Below are 17,961 nucleotides of genomic sequence, written 5' to 3' on the forward strand. Positions count from 1 at the left end.
TGGGGCCCGGGATAAGCCCTCCGCAAAGCTCCAGGCAGGGGTACAGGTCTTGGTCCCCAGCACGCATGCAGCAGATGTGAGGTCCCCTGCCAGGCTGCACTCACCTCGTTCAGGACGGTGACCAGGGCCAGCGAGTACTCGATGACGTGCTGGGGATCGGCCTGCCGCAGCAGCCCCGGGAGCACACTAGCGGTGAGCCCGTGCAGCCAGACTGTGAGCCCCATTGCGCTGCCGTTGGGCTCTGGGAGGGTGATGGCCAGAGACCTACGAGCAGAGGGGGGTGGTGAGCAGGTGGCAGTCTCGGGGGCGCCCTCCCACGGCCTGGCTCACCTGTTGAGGGCGACCACAGCGGCTCCCAGCTGGTCCTGCACCACCACGGCCAGGCCCACCTCGAAGTGTGGCCTGAAACCCGGGGGCAGCACGGCTCCGTAGCCGGAGAGGCTGCCCTTGTAGACACAGAACTCCTCGCAGTGGCCCTGGCGACAGCGCTGCAGCAGCAGGGCGTACACCAGCGGGGCGCCAGCATCCTCCGCGTCATGCCAGCCTGAGGGACGGTCCCCATGGCATCACGGGAGGGCTCCGTGACGTCACAGTCGGGGGATCCCGCTGCTCCCCCTAAGCAGGCCTGTACTCACCCGTGCATTCGAAGTGCACCTTGGTGGTGAGGGCGTGCACAGCGCCCAGTGGGAAGAGGCGGCAAGAGCCCCCCAGCGGCGGGCGGTTGGGGGACAGGGGGATGGAGGCGCAGCCCTCCTCCTCGCCAGAGCGGCCCAGCACCGTCAGCGTGAAGGTGTATCCCTCGCCGTCCCGCAGCACGCCCCGCCGCAGCACCAGTCACATGCCTGCGCTGCCCGTGGATGTGGTGGTCTCATCCAGCACCAGTGTCTTGTTGCTGAACGTACGTGCAGCCCACCGCTGCAGGCAGAAGGGGTGGTGAGGGGGCGCAACCCTCTGCCCTGTCAGCCCCACTTCTGCCTGCAGGCCCCGTCCCCTCGGCCATGGGACCCATCCCCAGCCCGCCCACACCCCGCTCAACACTCACCCCTCGCTTGGAGCCGCTGCTGCAATTGAGGCAGCGGCCCTCCAGGTACACGTAGGAGCTGCGGCTCACTTCGTACACGGCCTGTGCCTTGCAGGACACACACTCCAAGGACACAATGGGCACCCGGCCACTGCGGATCAGCACCTGGCGTGGGAGTGGGGTTACCTCCAACACAGGTCTATTTGGCCTGCTGGAAGGTCTGGGGGACCCGTGGAGGATGCTGCTCCCAAACTCCAGGTTTCCCAGGGGCCTGGCCACTGCCGGTGAGCTCACCCCCTCCCAGGATACTCATCCGGTTTGCCACCTTCCAACCTGGGCGGCGGAAGGGCATACACAGGGCAGAGGACACTGGGGTGTGCGTTCTGGTGTACTGGAGCCAGCTGGACCCTGACAGGAGGCAGGCAATGCTCACTGAGGGCCCCTGGGGGGATGCGTGTGGGAACAGACGTATGTGGGGGTGTGAGGACCGCAGTTGCCACGTAGGCCTGACTCACAGACTCCTGCAGCCCTTAGCCAGGGCCTGGGTCAGGAGGCTGAGCCGGGATGGAACCTGCTCCCACACCCTCCCCTCAGACGACCCCTCTGGGCAGACCCCCAATCAGGCCCGTTGAGGAAAGCAGGGACTGGGGAACAGACACCCACTCTGGGGCACCAGCAGGCCCCGCCTGACAGCAGCAGGAGCAGCCACCACGGGCTCAGGGTCACCAAGCCTCCTGGCCGGTCCAGAGTGGGGAGCGTGAGGGTGAGAACCGGCCCACCACATCCAGCAACAGGGACATGGGCTGGGGACAGTGGCTGCCTCTGGGGTGGGAAGGGGCTCTTCCTCACTGTTGGTATTGCTGGGGGACTGTGTAGCTTTTGTCACTAGAGCATATGTGGCTTGAAGACTGTATGTGGAACTGTGGCAGGTTTGGAAGGAAGCAAAGCTGAAGCAGGCTGTCGTGTTACGTAGAATTTGCATCAGAAACAGAGAGGGAAGAGCGCGCGGCCTCCACCAGCACTAAAACACGGAAAACAGTAGATGAGCAGGGAGGTTGGGCTGTCCAAGGCAAGTGGCCGAGGGGCGGGCGGCACCCACCGTCTGGTTGGTGGCCTCCTCCTTGCGGCCGGCCTTCCACACGGTGAGGCTGAAGGTGTACTCCACGCCAGCCGCCAGCCGTTCCCGTGGAATGGTGACCGTGCTGCTCCCGCGGGGCCCAAAGTTCAGCGCACACCCGCCAGCCTCCCTCTGCAGGCCGAGAACAAGGGGCGACGTGGCCCGAGAACCCCATCCAGTTTTAAAGCAGAGCCCGGCCCAGGAGACAGCGCGGGAGACCCCCTCCCCATGCTGGGACGGGGCCCACCAGGCACTGAGGACGGGCCAGCCCTGGTGGCAAGCTGGGTGTTCTCTGGGCTCATGGGTGTGGACGGGTGAGGGGCATGGAGGACGGCCCTGCCACGCACTGACCTGTGTCGAAGCCACACAGGCCCACTGGAAACTGAGCGGCGTCTGGTCGCCATCCTCCAGGTTGGGGTCGTAGGACTCGCTCCCATCCAGCACCAGGTCCTGTGTGTCTGACCACACGCGGTATGAGCCACCCTCAGTGATGGGCACCAGGCGCTCAGGGGCCACCGTCACATTGGCCTGGATGCTCCGTGCCAGTGGCGTGTCCCCAAATGACACGACAAACACAAAGCAGTAGTGCCCCACAGGCAGCGCCAGCCGCGGCAGCACCAGCTGAGGCCGGCTCACGTCCACGCCGGGCAGGGCCACACGCGCCGGGCACCCCGGCTGGTGGGCCCGAGCCAGATGCAGTGCTCGGCTGTGGCTGGGTGTGGCTCCCCGGGCAGCCAGTTCTGGCAGCTCTCCAGGCTGAAGGCCTCGCCCTGCGGCGCTGGGCCCACCTCCACCCGCTGCACAGTCGAGAAGCCGATCCACACGTCTAGGCTCCTGGGGGCGGGTGTGGGATGCCAGGGGGCTCAGGGCACTCCTCCATCCTCCCACCCTCACAGCAGCCCGCTGGGAGCCCCATCACTGTCCCCCTTTCCAGATGGGGAAACTGAGGCTCAGAGCCTGGAGAGCAGGGCCCACCACCCCAGGCTCACAGCAGCACCCACCCACGGGGCCTGTGGGCACCGGCAGGGATCCCCGCGCAGGCCACCTCCCGTATGGCGTGCCCAGGAGTGTCCGGAGGCTGCCCCCAGCTCGCGTCCACCTCTGCATCTGCAGAGCTGACAGGAACGGCCCCACCGGCCGGCGCCACCTGCTCACCAGGGCCGGCCCAGCTCCCACCTCCCTCCTCCTGAGACTCCCCAGCCGCAGGCTCTGCCCCACTGCTTCAGAGATCTCCCAACCTATGGCCCCTCGGGGGGTGGGGGCAGGCACCTGGTGACCCGGGAGACCAGGAAGCGCTGCACGGCGGGACTGTCCACCATTGCCAGGGCGGCCCCGGCCCAGGCCCGACACTGCTCCTGCGCCTGCAGCCAGGCCGCCTTCTCCACCACCAGGCGGTAGCAGTGCCCGTTGCCAGAGAAGATCTCCGTGTCCGAGGGGCAGAGCGGGTGCACCGCTGGAGACCGGTGGGAATGAGGGTGTCAACGGTCAGTGTGGGCCCAAGACGGGGGTACCAGGCTCTGCCCCATCTGGATGGCCCTGGGGAGGAAGGGGAGTGGGCAGCAGACACTCACCTCGGGCCGGCTCCTCGCCCAGGGCCACGATGCTGTAGGCAGCCTCCAGGCCTGAACCACCGCGGTTCTGGATGCTGAGGTCGAGGCTCTCGTCACTCTGCACCGAGGACGGGCACACGAGCTCCAGGGCGGCAGGTGCCGCTTCCACCTGCACGTCTGTCCCCAGCAGGGCTGAGCCGGCCCCCAGGGCCAGCACGGCCGTCACGTGATAGCGCCCAGGCAGCACATAGCGATGCGAGGCAGCCGGCCCAGCGGCATCCACCTCGGGGGAGCCGTCTCCGAAGTCCCAGCGTGTGGCAGTGACAGGGAGCGGGGCAGCGATGTGGAAGGCTGCTAGCTGGCCGGAGGCCAGGGGTCCGTGGGGCCCCACCAGGGGGGCCCCTGGGGAGGCAGGGAAGACGTGCTGGAGGAGGGTGGGGCCCCTACAGGTGGGGGCAGGAGGCGGCGGGGGGCCGGAGCAGAGGGACAGGCAGGCGAAGGAGGCACTAGAGGGCTGGGCCGCCCCACACAGGCACCAGCCCTGCTCCGAGAGGGCTGCGAGGCCCTGGCCGGTGGAGAAGCAGAAGGCGCTGCAGGCCTCTGGCTGAAGCAGGCCTTCGTGGGCAGCTGAAAAGGACACTGCTGCCACGGTGCCTGAGCTGTTGTCAGGGAGGCAGGCGACATACTCCTCACCTAGAAGAGGCAGCCACTGGACCCCGGGTTCTGCTCCTCCTGGCTCCACCCCACACACCCCCATCCGCCCGCCGCACTCACAGGCTCCCATGCTGTTCCCTTGGCCCGGAGCCCCCCCCCAGAGAGGCCTTCCTGAGCCCTGCCCAGTGTCTGCAGGGCCCAGGTCCCACCTGGCTGGGAAGGACAGAGCTGGCCCCACCCACCGGCACTCACCACAGCCACTGTCCAGCAAGGGGATGCCAAGCAGAGGCTGGCCAGCCAGGGAGTCAGGCCCAGCACACGTGGCTGCCTCGGGCTGCACCACCCGCACCTGCTGCTCCTCCGCCCATCGCGGCAGCCACGCCAGGCCACAGTCACACTCAAACGGGTTCCCACTCAGGTTTCTGCGGGGCAGGGGCAGGTGTTGGGGACCAGGTCTGGTGGGAAGGGTCTATGCCAGCCCCCCACTGGCAACCAGGCCCTGGAGCCACCCTGACAGCACCGCCTCCCCTGCCCCAACCAAGCCGGCACTGGGGGGCTCCAAGCAGGTAGTGAACTGCCCCCAGGATCTGGTCTCAAGCCTGGAAGGGGACACAGACCAACTGGGAGGGCAGAAGGGATACTGGGGGCCTGGGGTCCAGCCAGGACCCCACCCAAAGAACCACAACTTACATTTCACTTAAATTAAATAAATTAGCAAATATTCCTTCTTCTAACGTAGAAATCTTGTTGTTGCTTATATCCCTGGAAGAGAGGGGGGATTCGGCAAAGCTGACGGAAGCCCCCACAGCTGAGCAGCAAGAGGCGGTGCCGCCAGCCCACCCGGAGTGAGCCCCGCATGCTGGCACGACTGGGGGACACTCACAGCTCTGCCAGCGCCGAGAGGTTCGCCAGGAGCCCAACGTCCAGCGCCCGGAGCAGGTTGTGGGAGACGTCTCTGAGGAGTGAGTGGCCGTGGGTCAGGGCCAGAGCCCTTAGTAGGCCAGAGGCCATCCCTGGGCCCATCCCACACATTGCCAGCATCCCCAAGCTATGGCCTCCCACCCTTGAGCTCCCCACTCCCAGAGGTCAGGAGGGGCCTTTCTGATGGAAGACCCAAATGAACACTCATCTGGGGAAACCAAGCCGGGAGAGGCCTGGGGGCCTCAGCCCTCTGCACCCATCTCAGCCCTATGCCGAGTGCCACCTGGACCTGTCCACCCAGGGCCAGGAAGGGCACGGACCCCCAACCCATCCCACGCAGGGCCAAGGCCCCCCATCCCCTGTCCACAGTCCCCCACAGAGCCAAGGTCTCCCAACCCTGTCCACAGCCCCCACACAGACTCGAGGGGCCCCCATCTCCTGTTCTGAACCCAACAGGGTGGTCCCACTGTGGGACCACAACCAGGTATGACTGTGTGAGAAGCAGGCTCACTACCAGGCTACCAGGGAGCACAGGGGAGCAGGCGCCACCTTGAGGCATAAACCCAGAGAAACAAGACCTCCAAGACGGCCAGGCACTGGGGCACACGCCGGTAACACAGCACCGTGGGAGCTGAGACGGAAGGATCGCCTGAGCCCAGGATTTTGAAACCACCCTGGGCAACACAGTGAGACCCCGTATCTACAAAAAAATACACATTAGCCAGGCATGGCGGCATGCGCCTGGGGTCCCAAGTACTCGGGAGGTAGAGGAGAGAAAAATCACTTGAGCCCAGAGAGGTCAAGGCTACAGGGAGCTGAGATCGCATCACTGTACTCCAGCTGGGGTGAAACGGCGAGACTCTACCTCAAAAATAAATAAATACATACATAATTAATAAATAAAACATCAAAGACCAGCCGACCTAACTCCATCTAAAATACACAACTTCTACGCAAAATATAAATAAAATTAGAAAACAAACTACAATCTCAGAAAAGCACTAGCAACTTAGACGACATACTAAAGGCCAAAAATACCCTCCTGACACACAGCTAATAAAGAAAAAGTCAACTATTCCAGTTAAAAAGAAGAAAAGGAAACTGGCTGTGGTGGCTTATGCCTGTAATCCCAGTGCTTTGGGAAGGCCAGGAGTTTGAGACCAGGATGGACAGCATAGCAAGACCCCATCTCTACAAGGAAAAAAAGAATCAGCCAGGCATGGTGGTGTGGAGCTGTAGTTCCAACTACTCGGGGGGCTGAGGAAGAAGGATCGCTTGAGCCAGGGAGGTCGAGGCTGCAGTGAGCTATGACTGTGCCACTGCAGTCCAGCCTGGGCGACAGAGCAAGACCCGGTCTCGAAAGAAAAGAAAGAGAAAGCAAGAAAAGAAAGATGGCTGGGCACGGTGGCTCACTCCTGTAATCCCAGAACTTTGGGAGGCCAAGGTGGGTGGATTATGAGATCAAGAGATCGAGACCATCCTGGCCAACAGGGTGAAACCCCATCTCTACTAAAAATGCAAAAATTAGGTGGGCGTGGTGGCGGGAGCCTGTTAGTGCCAGCCACTCTGGAGGCTGAGGCAGGAGAATCACGTGAACCCGGGAGGCGAAGGTTGCAGTGAGCCAAGATCACGCCACTGCAATCCAGCCTGGTGACATAGCGAGACTCCATCTCAAAAAAAAAAAAAAAAAAAAAAAGAAAAGAAAGGGAGGAGAGAGAGAAGAAAAGGAGAAGGGGAAAGAGCCGGGTGCAATGGCTCCTGCCTGTAATCCCAGCACTTTGGGAGGCTGAGGCGGGCGGATCACCTGAGGTCAGGAGTTCAAGACCAGACTGACCAACACGGAGACACCCTGTCTCTACCAAAACTACAGAATTAGTTGGGCGTGGTGGCAAGCACCTGTAATTCCAGCTACTCAGGAGGCTTAGGCAGGAGAATCACTTGAACCCGGGAGGCAGAGGTTGCAGTGAGCTGAGATCGCGCCCCTGCACTCCAGCACCCCATCCTGCAAGAGTGAAGCTCCATCTCAAAAAAAAAAAAAAAAAAAAGAAAAAGGACGGAGGGCGAGAGGGAGGGAGGAAAGAAAGAGAAAACTCCAAAAACAAAAAAAGAAAAACCAGGCAATTAAAAGAAGCACAATTGGTCACAGCCATGGGAAAGACATCCCATGTCAGCAGTCAGTGAAGAAAAGGCAACAGAAACCAAAGGGCGGCAGCATGTCTCTCTTTTCAGAGCTGCCCGAGTTACAAACCAGGTCCTGGAGCTGGTGATGTGGAGGTGAGAAGCCAGAGAGCTGGGGCAAACCGAGAACTCCACCTCCCCTCGGCCTCAAGCACCTCGGGGGTCACCCTGCCGCCCACCCTGGGCACCCCTCCTGGTCCCACGCACTCCCAGTAGTGCTCCTGGCACAGGGACTGTGGCTCCGCAGGTCTGCACACCACCCCCCTGCTCCCCAGGACCCCGAGACCTCACCTCCTGCCACGGGCCTCTACTTCCCCAGGTGTCACCCTCCCCACGAGTGACCCAGCAGGTGCCTCTGCCTAGACTTGCTCTTCCCAGCAATGACCACCCGGCAGCCAGGCCCAAGCCGGGGTGGCCTCCATCCCTGAGCACCCGCCCAGCCCCTACCGGCCTCCATCCCTGAGCACCCGCCCAGCCCCTGCCAGTCCCTGCCACCCTCCATCCCTGAGCACCCGCCCAGCCCCTGCCGGCCTCCAGCCCTGAGCACCCGCCCAGCCCTGCCAGCCTCCAGCCAGCCCTGCTCCTCCCACCGGAGCTCCGCTCCCGCAGCAGCCTACCCGGCGCAGGAGAGACGCACACACAGGCTGCCTGGTGGGGCCCGGGGCCAGGGCAAGGGCTTGAAAAGGGAACCAACAAAGAAGGGGACCAGAGGCCACCCCAGCTGAGGGGACAGAGCAGCCGAGGCCTTCTCCGTGCCAGGAAGCAGCCCCAGCCACGGACGGTGGAGCCGAGCCCTCACCTGGGCTGGGCGCCCAGACAGATGAGACGCTGGGCACTGGCTCCCGGAGCTTCTCGTTCCATCTGCGGATGGAGGGCACGGTTGGGGGTGCAGTTCCCTTCCCCCAGGGGCTGTGGGACACTCAGAGAGCCTATGCCTGTGCCCTGGGCTCCGGGAGGGGAGAGGATCTGGGGGCCAGGCACACAGGGAACGGCCCCTCCGGCAGGGCCACCGCTTCCCCCCTAACTGAACCCTGCTTCTCTGCCGTCCCCTCCTCTACACCAAGGTAGGGACACAGGCTGAGGTGCTCCCCACTGCCCATAAGGATGGGTGGGCCCACAGCCACGCTGCTAGGCATCCACACCATCCCCGCCGTGGGGTGGGACAGGGTGGCGGCTGGGAGACCAGCAAGAGGCCATTCACGAGACAGGGTGAGGCAGCTGGACTCACACCCGCTGCCCAAGCACCATGCCCGAGGGGGAACACTGTGCTGTAAGGAACTGCAGTTAGACCTGAGGAGGGACTTTTCAGCGGCTGCGGCGGCAGCAGAACCAATGCTTTAGGGAGAATGAGGCACCAGGACCTGAGGCGCAGCAGCCCTAAGGGGCGAGAGGTGCTGCAGAGGCCACGGTGAACACAGGCAGGCCCCCTGGAAGGGACACAGCTGTGAAACTGCCCCGGGGAGGGGCACAGGCATGGGGAGCAGCTCCCACCCAGGCCACGGGAGAAAGGAAAGAAGGAAAAGCCTGAAGATGTTTGGCCACACCTCATTTTCTGGAAAATCCATCAAGAGTGGCTGCTGCTGGGAGCTGACAAGCCAGGGCAGGGGTGGGGGCAGGTCAGCCGAGGACCCCAGAGCCCCCCCGCTCCCCACCCATCCCACTGTGAACCAGGCCTGGGGGTGCCATGGACACTTCTTCCATGCCAGCAGGCAGCCCCGCCTGTCACCGGTTCTGGCCATGCACTCCCTGCGTGCCAGGCTCCAGGCTGGCTCCTTCTCCCGGCCCTCACCCCAGCCCAAGGCCCACAAATGCAGCAAGGTCTTGGGGACCCCGCTCGGCCGAGCTCCCAGGGCCCAGGGCAGTGGAATGAAGCTGGGGCCCAGACAGGAGCCAGGTGCAGTCCCCCAGCCCCCAGGGTGTGGAAGCGTCTGCCCTGGGTAGGACTCAGGTGCCCCCTGGGTGTGGAAGCATCTGCCCTGGGCAGGACTCAGGTGTGGGCTTCAGGGACAGGGACCAGTACAGGGATCCCCGTGGAGTCCTCACCCCGCTTGCTCCCGTACTTTTCCACGTCTGCATCTGCTTTTGCCATCGCCGTTCTGGGGGAACGCCAAGGCCTAGCCAGGCAGCCTCGCGCCAGCCCCCCCACCCCGCCCCTCGGGCTTCCTCTGCACCCGCCAGGTGACATCATCGCCGCTGTCTGATGCCCTGCCCCCACGTTCTGGTTCCCTGCAAGGATGGGGGACACAGCAGGGCCCAGGCATCTGGCAGCAGGACCACCGAGCGGCCCTAAGCCCAGGCAAGAGCACAGAGCAGAGTGCAGGGTCCTCTGGGGTCCCAAGCCCTTGCTGCCCCACGCACTCCTCACCCCAGTTCCTGCTATAAGCTGGAAGGGTGGGAGCCAGGTGCACAGGGACAGCCTGATGGGTGCCCGAGGGCCAGGATGTGCTCCCAGGGAAGCTGAAGCCAAGCTTGTTGGGAGAAGTACACCCCCATGGGGGGCAGGACGGTGCCCCAGCCCCGGGACACAAGGGGCCCCCAGCGCCGAGCGTCCGATCTGGAAGGCAGGAGGAGTTAGGACCATCCTAGCGTGGGACCCAGCGGGCTCCTTAGCGGCTGCTGGGGCACCACTGGGTGGAGAAGGAAGTCCCAGGTGTGTGGCCACAGTACGGGTCTTCACCCCTTCCCAGCACCCTTGCCAATCCTGGAGCAGGAGCAGCAACAGCAGAGGGTGTGGCCAGGCCTGGAGGCTGCCCCTCCACACCCCTGTCACAGGTGGGGCCACGTCCCAGGGCTGTGGGCAGCAGGGCCAGCCTGCCGGCCCGAGGTATCTGACACGTGTCTCATGCTGCAGCGGGTCTGCCCGCCACCCGGGCGTGTGAACCCCAGGTCGGGCCCCCTCGCCCTGGAGCCTCGGCCCCTCAGGGGTGTTCCCAGCCAGGCGCTGGCTCTCCTGCCCTCCCCCTGGGCTCTGCCCACAGTTGGCGCGAGGGTGGGTGAAGCCTGAGGCTGGCAGGGCCCGGGAAGTCTTGTGGCTGGGCCTTCTGCCCCACAGGCGCTCCTGGGCCGGGGGAGCCGGGGTCGGGGCGTGCAACAGTGGGACTGAGAACTTCCCTGGGTGTGGGGCAGCTCCCGGGGCCCTCCCAATCCACAACAGAGGGAATGGCCCCAGACAAACCAGACCTGCCTCAGAGCCTCACACTCAGAGCTGAGTGCCCCAGGCGCCCATTTCCCAGACCAGATGCTGAGTGGGGTCTGGGGGCCGGACGGAGCCCCCAAAGAAACATCTGCACATTCCAGACGCGTGTGGTCAGCGGCGGGCGTGTGCCAGGCCCGGCACCCCTGCCCGCGCTGGCCGCCTCACTGGAAACTGGGCTGGGGGGACCGGCTCGGAGGGGCCACCTGCGGAGCTTATGTAACCGCTCCTCCCTCGGCAGGGGCAGGACAGGACGCCAGACCCAGGGAGGCCCCATGCCCCCTGCCAGGCCCCGTCCTCTCCTGGAGGAGCCGGTTCCCCTCCGCCCAGCAAGAGGACCCCCAGGCCCGTCCCTCCCGAGAGCAGGCCCAGGGTGAGGAAATGGGGTGCAGTGTGGGCGCTGGAGAGGACAGGGGACAGGCAGCAGTGCCACCCCCACTGTGGCCCCTTCCTCGCTGGGCCAGCCGAGCCATGACCTCTTCTGTTTCCCTCTGCGCTGTGCTCCTTTCTATTTAAGGAGAGTGAGGCGGCTTCCAGGGCCGGAAATGATCCTGTTTAAATTAACAGGCTGCAGTTTGGGACGGTGCTCATTTGAAAAAAAACAGTGCAGCCCCGGGCTGGGCAGACGGCTGCTGGCTCCGCCTACCACTTCCATGGGGAGGGCCAGGGAGGCCGGCCACAACCCTGGCCCCACGAGGGGTGGGGGTTGCAGCCTCTGATAGAGGACGAGGCTGCCAGGCCCCAGGCAACAGAGCCCTGCACGAGGTTCTCTGGGTCCCGGACACGGGGTGTGAGACTAGCCGGGGAGCCCCAGGCTCAGCGGCATTCTGTCCTTACAGATCCCTCCCATGGCTCAACTGTTCCCAGGATGAGACGCCGGGGGTGACATGGGCAGCCTCAGGTCCTCCCGGGACCCACAGGCAGGCACAGGGATGGAGACTCCGGCCTCGGAGGCTGAACGAGGGAGATGAGAAAGGGGAGTCTGCGATGTCCTTGCCTACACGGATGGAAAAACACAGCCAGCTCAAAAAGGGCCGTTTGGAGACAAGCCCACCTGTGGGTGTAGGAAGGAGAGCGCTTCATACGTATGCCACCTGCCGCTGGGGTCGGGGCCACCCTTCCAGTTCAAGGGGAGAATGAGGGCCGGCTCCTGGTGCCCCTGCACACAGCTGACATGGAGCCAGGCGTTGTGACCCCCTTGCATCCCTCTCCACTCCCACCCTTCACAGCCTGGGTGGGCAGGTGCTGCACTGACCTTATGCTCCTGATGGGCACAGAGGCTCAAGAGGCCCTCCTCCTCCCCCAACACCATCCCCCAAACACCTCCCCGGGCAGCCAGCAGGGTCCAGAGTGTCAATGGAGGAAGCCAAGGTAGGAAGAGGGTGGTGGGGGGGGCCAAGCAAACTGGCCATCTGCGCCCGGCTGTGCGGGCACAGCAGTGCCCTGGAGAGGGCAGCAGCACAGATCCAGCGGGGCAGCCGGAATCCCATCACCCACTCGGCTGTGGGCACAGCCAATGATGGCACGAGCCATCCTGAGGCCAGGGCCACGATGCACAGTGGACGGGCTCACAACCCGGAGCCCCTGTACTCCCACAGCTGTGACGTTCCCTGGGCATGGGCTTGCCCCAGCGCTGGCCTCATTCCTGCCTCAACCAGAAGGAAGAGCTGGCTTCCGCCTCTGCCTGGGCACAAAGCCCTTTCCGAGGTGGCCTGACAGAAGCCAGCCTGTCTTCAGATCATGGCGCTGCTAAGGTCAGGAACGCCAGGCTGGGCCAGGGCTGGGCCTTGGGAGCTGCAGGGAGAAAAGGACCCAGCCCGCCTCAGCCCCAGATGTAGCCCTTCTCCTGCCACCAGTGCCTGGGCACCCCGGCCCCTAGGCGAGGACAGCTGCCAAGCCATGAAGAGCGAGGTGTTCTGGGAAAGGGCGTGAGCTGCATTTTCCAGCTGCGCTCACTCTGCAGGGAGACTGTGACGCCCCCGCCGCTGTGCCCGCAGACGTGCCCGGCCTCAGCCAGCTGGAGCGCAGGCAGCAGAGTGCAGGCCAGGCCCAGACGGCAGCGGGCTGTTTTCATTCCAGGGTGCTTGGCGGGCTGGGCTGCCGTGGCCACTGCAGAGCTCCAGAAAAGAACACGTGTGTCTCCCTCCAAAGTATGTTCCTCGCTGGAAAGCAGATCCCAGGCAGGGTCTCCCCCACGAGCAGGGGGAGAGGCACCCCAAGGTGGGGGAGCGAGGGCAGTGGCAGAACCACCCCATACCCTAGGGGACCCAGGGAGGGGCTTGCAGATGCGGGACCCACATTTGGCAGCGGTGCCCGGCCACTGTCACGAGATGGTGGCCAGCGCATCACCCACACGTGGGCCAGGATGGCAGAGGAGATCCACAGAGATGGCTCCAGCAGGAGGCCCTCACAGAGATGCCCTGGCCTCAGAAGAGCCAACAGAAAGCCGGGAAGGGGGACGTCGAGGCTCAAGCTTGGCACAACCTCCCCAAAGCTCCCAAAGGCTCTTGGTGCCCACCAGCGACAGCGCACACCGCCACCACCTAACAGCAAGGATGCAGCAGGGTCCGCACGTCAGGGCGGGCACTGAGCGGAACTCAGGCAGTGCCACTCGCCAGCTTACGTCAAAAGAACAAAAGGAGTGAGGACGATACTCGCGGCTCTGCCAATACTTCCCAGCCCCGCACGTCTCACACACACCAGAACGCGTCAAAAGGCACCAATGGGCAAACACCCAGAGGTAGGCACAAGCAGGAGTAGGCCGGGTCTTGTGAGCCCCTACAGCCACGCGGCCCTGCGCTGAAGGCACCGAGGCTGGGTGCTGAGGGGTCCATAAGAGTCCACCCGCCCAGGCTGCACTGGCTCCCGTCGTCCAGTGTCCGGTCTAAGCACAGGCACAGTGTCTGGCTCTCACCCTCAGGCTGTTACACTCTGCTCTGTGGCAGGGCAGGTCTCACAGTGCATGGAGGACAGGGGAATGGGCCCCCGGAACCCCTGAGGGAACCGACAGAGCTACTTTAACAAGGTATGATTGTTGGGGCTGCCAGTGGCTGAGCCAGGTCACTGCTACACTGCCCTGCAGGGTGCATCTAATCATGGAGCCCACTTTACAGGTGAGGAAACTGAGGCTGAGAGACTGGACCAAGGTCACACCAGAAGTGGAGGCGCTGGGACGTGAACCCAAGTCTGACTCCAGGGCGCAAATTCCCTACATCTGGGTTCCCAGCCTCCTTCCTGAAACTGAACAGGAAACTACAGGGAAGGGACACAGCAGGGATGAGCCAGGGAGGGAGAGGTGGGAGGGGCTGGCAGGGAGGGAGAGGTGGGAGGGGCTGGCAGGGAGGGAGAGGTGGGAGGGGCTGGCAGGGAGGGAGAGGTGGGAGGGGCTGGCAGCACCCAAGCAGCTGCACCTGGGTGCAGGGCCCCTCAGCCCCTCGGGGAGTGCAAGCACATCCCAGCCCGACTCGGAAGCGCCACTGCCACCTCTGTCTGTCTATAAACCAGGGCACTAGTGTGGGCCCCAGGCACCCTGTGCGGCTGCAGGGGTCTGCCCCAGAGCATGCTGATGAAATCATCACCACGGCTTCTCAGAGCCTCAATTTCCTGGTCTGTAAAATGAGACCAGGAGTGGCTGCAACCCTGCAGTGCCGTGATGAGCTATGGAGAGACAAGAACACAGAGGGCTCAGCGCAGGGCCCGGCGTGGCCACCGCGGGGAGAGGGTGCGGACTCTTCCTAGACCTTTTCTTTTTGAGACAGAGTTTCACTCTGTCTCCCAGGCTGGAGTGCAATGGTGCAATCTTGCCTCACTGCAACCTCTGCCTCCCAGGTTCAAGCGATTCTCCTGCCTCAGCCCCCAAAGTAGCTGAGACTACAGGCATGCGCCACCATGCTCAGCATTTTTTTGTTTTTTTGAGACAGAGTCTCGCTCTGTTGACCAGGCTAGAGTGCAGTGGTGTGATATTGGCTCACTGCAACCTCCGCCTCCCGGGTTCAAGTGATTCTCCTGCCTCAGCCTCCTAATTAGCTGGGATTACAGGCGCCCACCACCACACCTCGCTAATTTTTGTATTTTTAGTAGAACGGGTTTCACCATGTTGGTCAGGCTGGTCACAAATTCCTGACCTTGTGATCCCCCCACCTTGGCCTCCCAAAGTGCTGAGATTACAGGCGTGAACCACCGCGCCCACCCTGTTTTTTTGTTTTGTTTTTTTTTTAAAGACCGTTTCCTAGTCACCCAGGCTGGAGTGCAGTGGCACCATCACAGCTAACTGCAGTCTCAACCTCATAGACTCAGGGAATCCTCCCCCCTCAGCCTCCCAACTAGCTGGGACTACAGGCGCCACCACTAATATCTATTTATTGGTCTCGCTATGTTGCCCAGGCTGGCCTCAAACTCCTGGCCTCAAGCCATCTGCTCTCCTAAAGTGCTGGGATTACAGGCGTGAGGCACCGCGCCCGGCTGGACAGTGGTTTTGATTTCCGTTTCCCTCATGACTAATGAGGCCGACCATCTTCTCACACGCTGTTGGCCATCTGTGCATCTTCTTTGGAGAAATCTCTGTTCAGATCCTGTGATTTTTTTTTTTTTTTTTTTTTTTTTTTTTTTGAGACAGGGTCTTGCTCTGTGACCCAGCCTGGAGTGCAGTGGTGTGATCACAGCTCACTGCAGCCTTGACCTCCTCGGCTCAAGTGATGTCCCACCTCAGTCTCTTGAATAGCTGGGACCACAGATGCACACCACCACGCCCGGCCAATGTTCTTTTATTTTTTAGAGACCGGGGTCTCACCCTGTTGCCCAGGCTGGTGTCAAACTCCTGGGCTCAAGCGATCCACCCACCCTGGCCTCCCAAACTGCTGGGATTCCAGGCGTGAGTGACCCCTTGTCCATGTTTAAACGGGGTCCCTGTCTGTTGTTGAATCATAGTGTTCCCTGTATGATCTGGATGCAAGCCGATACTGCATGGATGACCTGCAGGTGCTCTCTGTCTCCACAGTCGCCTCTGCAGTGGGCGCTCGGGTGCCCCACATTCCCAACTGCTACAGACACAACCAAAGCCTCCCCATCCCTTCCCCCACCCCTGCCGGCAATCGCGTACAGGAGTGAGCGTGTGACTTCTTGTCCACATTTTTGTCCACAAGTTTGGCGAGTTTGCATCCGTGTCTAATAAAGAAACTACCGTTTCTCACGCAGGCACGTTCTGAACGCCCGAGTGCGGGAGCCACGTAAGACCCGGCTCAGGGACCCCGGGTGAGGCCAGCTGCACATGCAGGATGCAGGTCCTCACCACTGCCTCCGCTCGGCTGCCAGGGCTCTTCCTAGAAGACACGGGCCTCTCCTAGGCTCTCCTGACTGAGGCCCTACCCCTGCCCCCGAGTCACCTTGCCCCTTGGGGACTCTCTCTGGGCAGCTCCCTGTGGGAGCTTTGAAACCTGGCTTCAATGTCACCTGCACTGGGGGTCCTTCCAGGCCAGCCCCCTCCCCATCATCCATCTCTGTCCTTGGAGAATCATCTGCGTGTTTGTTGAACGCGGGCTCCAGTGATAACGGAGCCCTCGAGGGTGGCCCTCCTTCTGCTGAGGGCTCATGGAGGCCTTGGTGACAATCCCTAGTCCTTGCTCTCAGGATCCAGGGACCAGAAATGGGAGCCAGGGGCCCCTCCGTGGCCTGGCCAGCCCCCCAAGGAAGCTGTGTCTGTGGCAGTTGCGCTCTAAGGCATCAGGCCTAGGGGTCGCTCCAGAATGACTGTCTTCCCCGACGCCAATCCCAGGCAGGGGCCCCGGGGTCTGCGCCTGCTGTCCCTACACTCTCCCACACTCTCCTGTCATTCAGGGATGCAGGTGGGAAAGGGCAAGGCCCTGGGTGCTCCTATATTTTACATCAGTGAACCAAGCACCTACCAAGTCCCTCGATGTGCCCAGTCCTGGACCCCAGCATTTGCGAGACAGCAGCAGACCCAGGTGACCCCCAGCCAGGGTGAGTGGCAACCAGCACCAGAAGTGGCCTTTAGAGCAGGGGGCCCTGAGCTGATGACATCTACACCTAGGTCACTGCCAGCCAGGACAACCTCTGGGACAATGGGATGTCGGCTCCAACGACCAATTTACAAGAAACACAAAGGACACACTCACAGCACCACGGAGGAGACACCATGGAGGTGGCACCCCCAAGACACAGCGAGAAATCCAGGCTGCAGGAGCCAGTTTCTTCAACAAATTGCACAAGGAAAAAGAGAGGAAGGGAAGCTCCTAGACATCATCGGACATTTAAAAGACAGGCGGTGGCTCAAGCCTGTAATCCCAGCACTTTGGGAGGCTGAGGCGGGTGGATCACGAGGTCAGGAGATCCAGACCATCCTGGCTAACACGGTGAAACCCCGTCTCTACTAAAAATACAAAAAATTAGCTGGGCATGGTGGCGGGCACCAGTCCAGGCTACTCAGGAGGCTGAGGCAGGAGAATGGCGTGAACCCAGGCGGCGGAGCTTGCAGTGAGCCGAGATGGCACTGCTGCACTCCAGCCTGGGCAACAGAGTGAGACTCCATCTCAAATAACAATAAATAAATAAATAAATAAATAAATAAATAAATAAATAAAAGACATCACTCACACCTGTAATCCCAGCACTTCGGGAGGCCGAGGCAAGCAGATCACCTAAGGCCAAGAGTTCAAGACCAGCCTGACCAACATGGTGAAACCCCATCTCTACTAAAAATATTTTTAAAAATTAGCCGGGCGTGGTGGCGCGCGCCTGTAATCCCAGCTACTCAGGAGGCTGAGGCAGGAGAATCGCTTGAACCCGGGAGGTGGAGGCTGCAGTGAGCCGAGATCACACCATTGTCCTCCAGCCTGGGTGACAGAGCCAGACTCCGTCTCAAACAAAACAAAACAAAAGACATCAGCTAGCTGGTCCAAGCACAGTGGTGTTCACAACGAATTGATCACAGCCAGGTAGAATTCTTCATTCTTTCTCCAGTTCCACTGCTTTGCTTGACCAGCCTTAAAGACACACATATACATTTTTGTCTGGGCGCGCTGGCTCACACCTGTAATCCCAACACTTTGGGAGGCCAAGGCAGGCGGATCACTTGAGGTCAGGAGTTTGAGACCAGCCTGACCAACGTGGAGAAACCCCGTCTCTCCTAAAAATACAAAATTAGCCAGGCATGGTGGCACACGCCTGTAATCCCAGCTACTGGAGAGGCTGAGGCAGGAGAATCGCTTGAACCCGGGAGGCGGAGGTTGCCGTGAGCTGAGATCGCGCCACTGCACTCCAGCCTGGGCAACAAGAGCGAAACTCTGTCTCAAAAAAAAAAAAAAAAAGTATA

At 62.1% G+C, this 17,961-nt stretch overlaps 1 protein-coding gene, 1 non-coding gene and 1 pseudogene across 10 annotated transcripts in view, besides 3 other annotated features; 1 reads left to right on the forward strand and 2 right to left on the reverse strand.

Moving 5' to 3' along the window:
- PDXDC1 (pyridoxal dependent decarboxylase domain containing 1) overlaps positions 1-17,961 on the forward strand; it is a 178,484-nt gene that overhangs the window by 158,425 nt on the left and 2,098 nt on the right. For 8 of the 9 annotated variants that reach the window (XM_017023065.2, XM_047433790.1, XM_024450195.2 and 5 more), the window contains one exon: positions 5,720-6,251. The exons of the other annotated variant lie outside the window; for it this stretch is intronic. In XM_017023065.2, coding sequence (XP_016878554.1) covers positions 5,720-5,817 — 98 coding nt within the window. In that variant the 3' untranslated portion in view covers positions 5,818-6,251. Of the gene's footprint in view, positions 1-5,719; positions 6,252-17,961 lie in introns of those variants that run through there. 9 annotated transcript variants of the gene reach the window in all.
- Positions 1-17,961, reverse strand: part of PKD1P6 (polycystin 1, transient receptor potential channel interacting pseudogene 6) — a 29,735-nt pseudogene that overhangs the window by 8,021 nt on the left and 3,753 nt on the right.
- Positions 916-986, reverse strand: MIR6511B2 (microRNA 6511b-2). The gene has a single exon (NR_106965.1). It is a non-coding gene; the product is annotated as a microRNA 6511b-2 (primary transcript).
- Positions 4,536-5,143: an enhancer, noted in NCBI's record as "H3K27ac-H3K4me1 hESC enhancer chr16:15231552-15232159 (GRCh37/hg19 assembly coordinates)". NCBI's record gives its function as "activates a minimal SCP1, AML or CMV promoter by ChIP-STARR-seq in primed H9 embryonic stem cells {active_cell/tissue: H9 hESC(primed)}" and the evidence as "EXISTENCE:reporter gene assay evidence [ECO:0000049][PMID:30033119]".
- Positions 13,073-14,046: an enhancer, noted in NCBI's record as "H3K27ac-H3K4me1 hESC enhancer chr16:15240089-15241062 (GRCh37/hg19 assembly coordinates)". NCBI's record gives its function as "activates a minimal SCP1, AML or CMV promoter by ChIP-STARR-seq in primed H9 embryonic stem cells {active_cell/tissue: H9 hESC(primed)}" and the evidence as "EXISTENCE:reporter gene assay evidence [ECO:0000049][PMID:30033119]".
- Positions 16,063-16,758: an enhancer, noted in NCBI's record as "H3K4me1 hESC enhancer chr16:15243079-15243774 (GRCh37/hg19 assembly coordinates)". NCBI's record gives its function as "activates a minimal SCP1, AML or CMV promoter by ChIP-STARR-seq in primed H9 embryonic stem cells {active_cell/tissue: H9 hESC(primed)}" and the evidence as "EXISTENCE:reporter gene assay evidence [ECO:0000049][PMID:30033119]".

Source organism: Homo sapiens, chromosome 16, assembly GCF_000001405.40.
Source record: "Homo sapiens chromosome 16, GRCh38.p14 Primary Assembly".
NCBI classification, from domain to species: domain Eukaryota; kingdom Metazoa; phylum Chordata; class Mammalia; order Primates; family Hominidae; genus Homo; species Homo sapiens.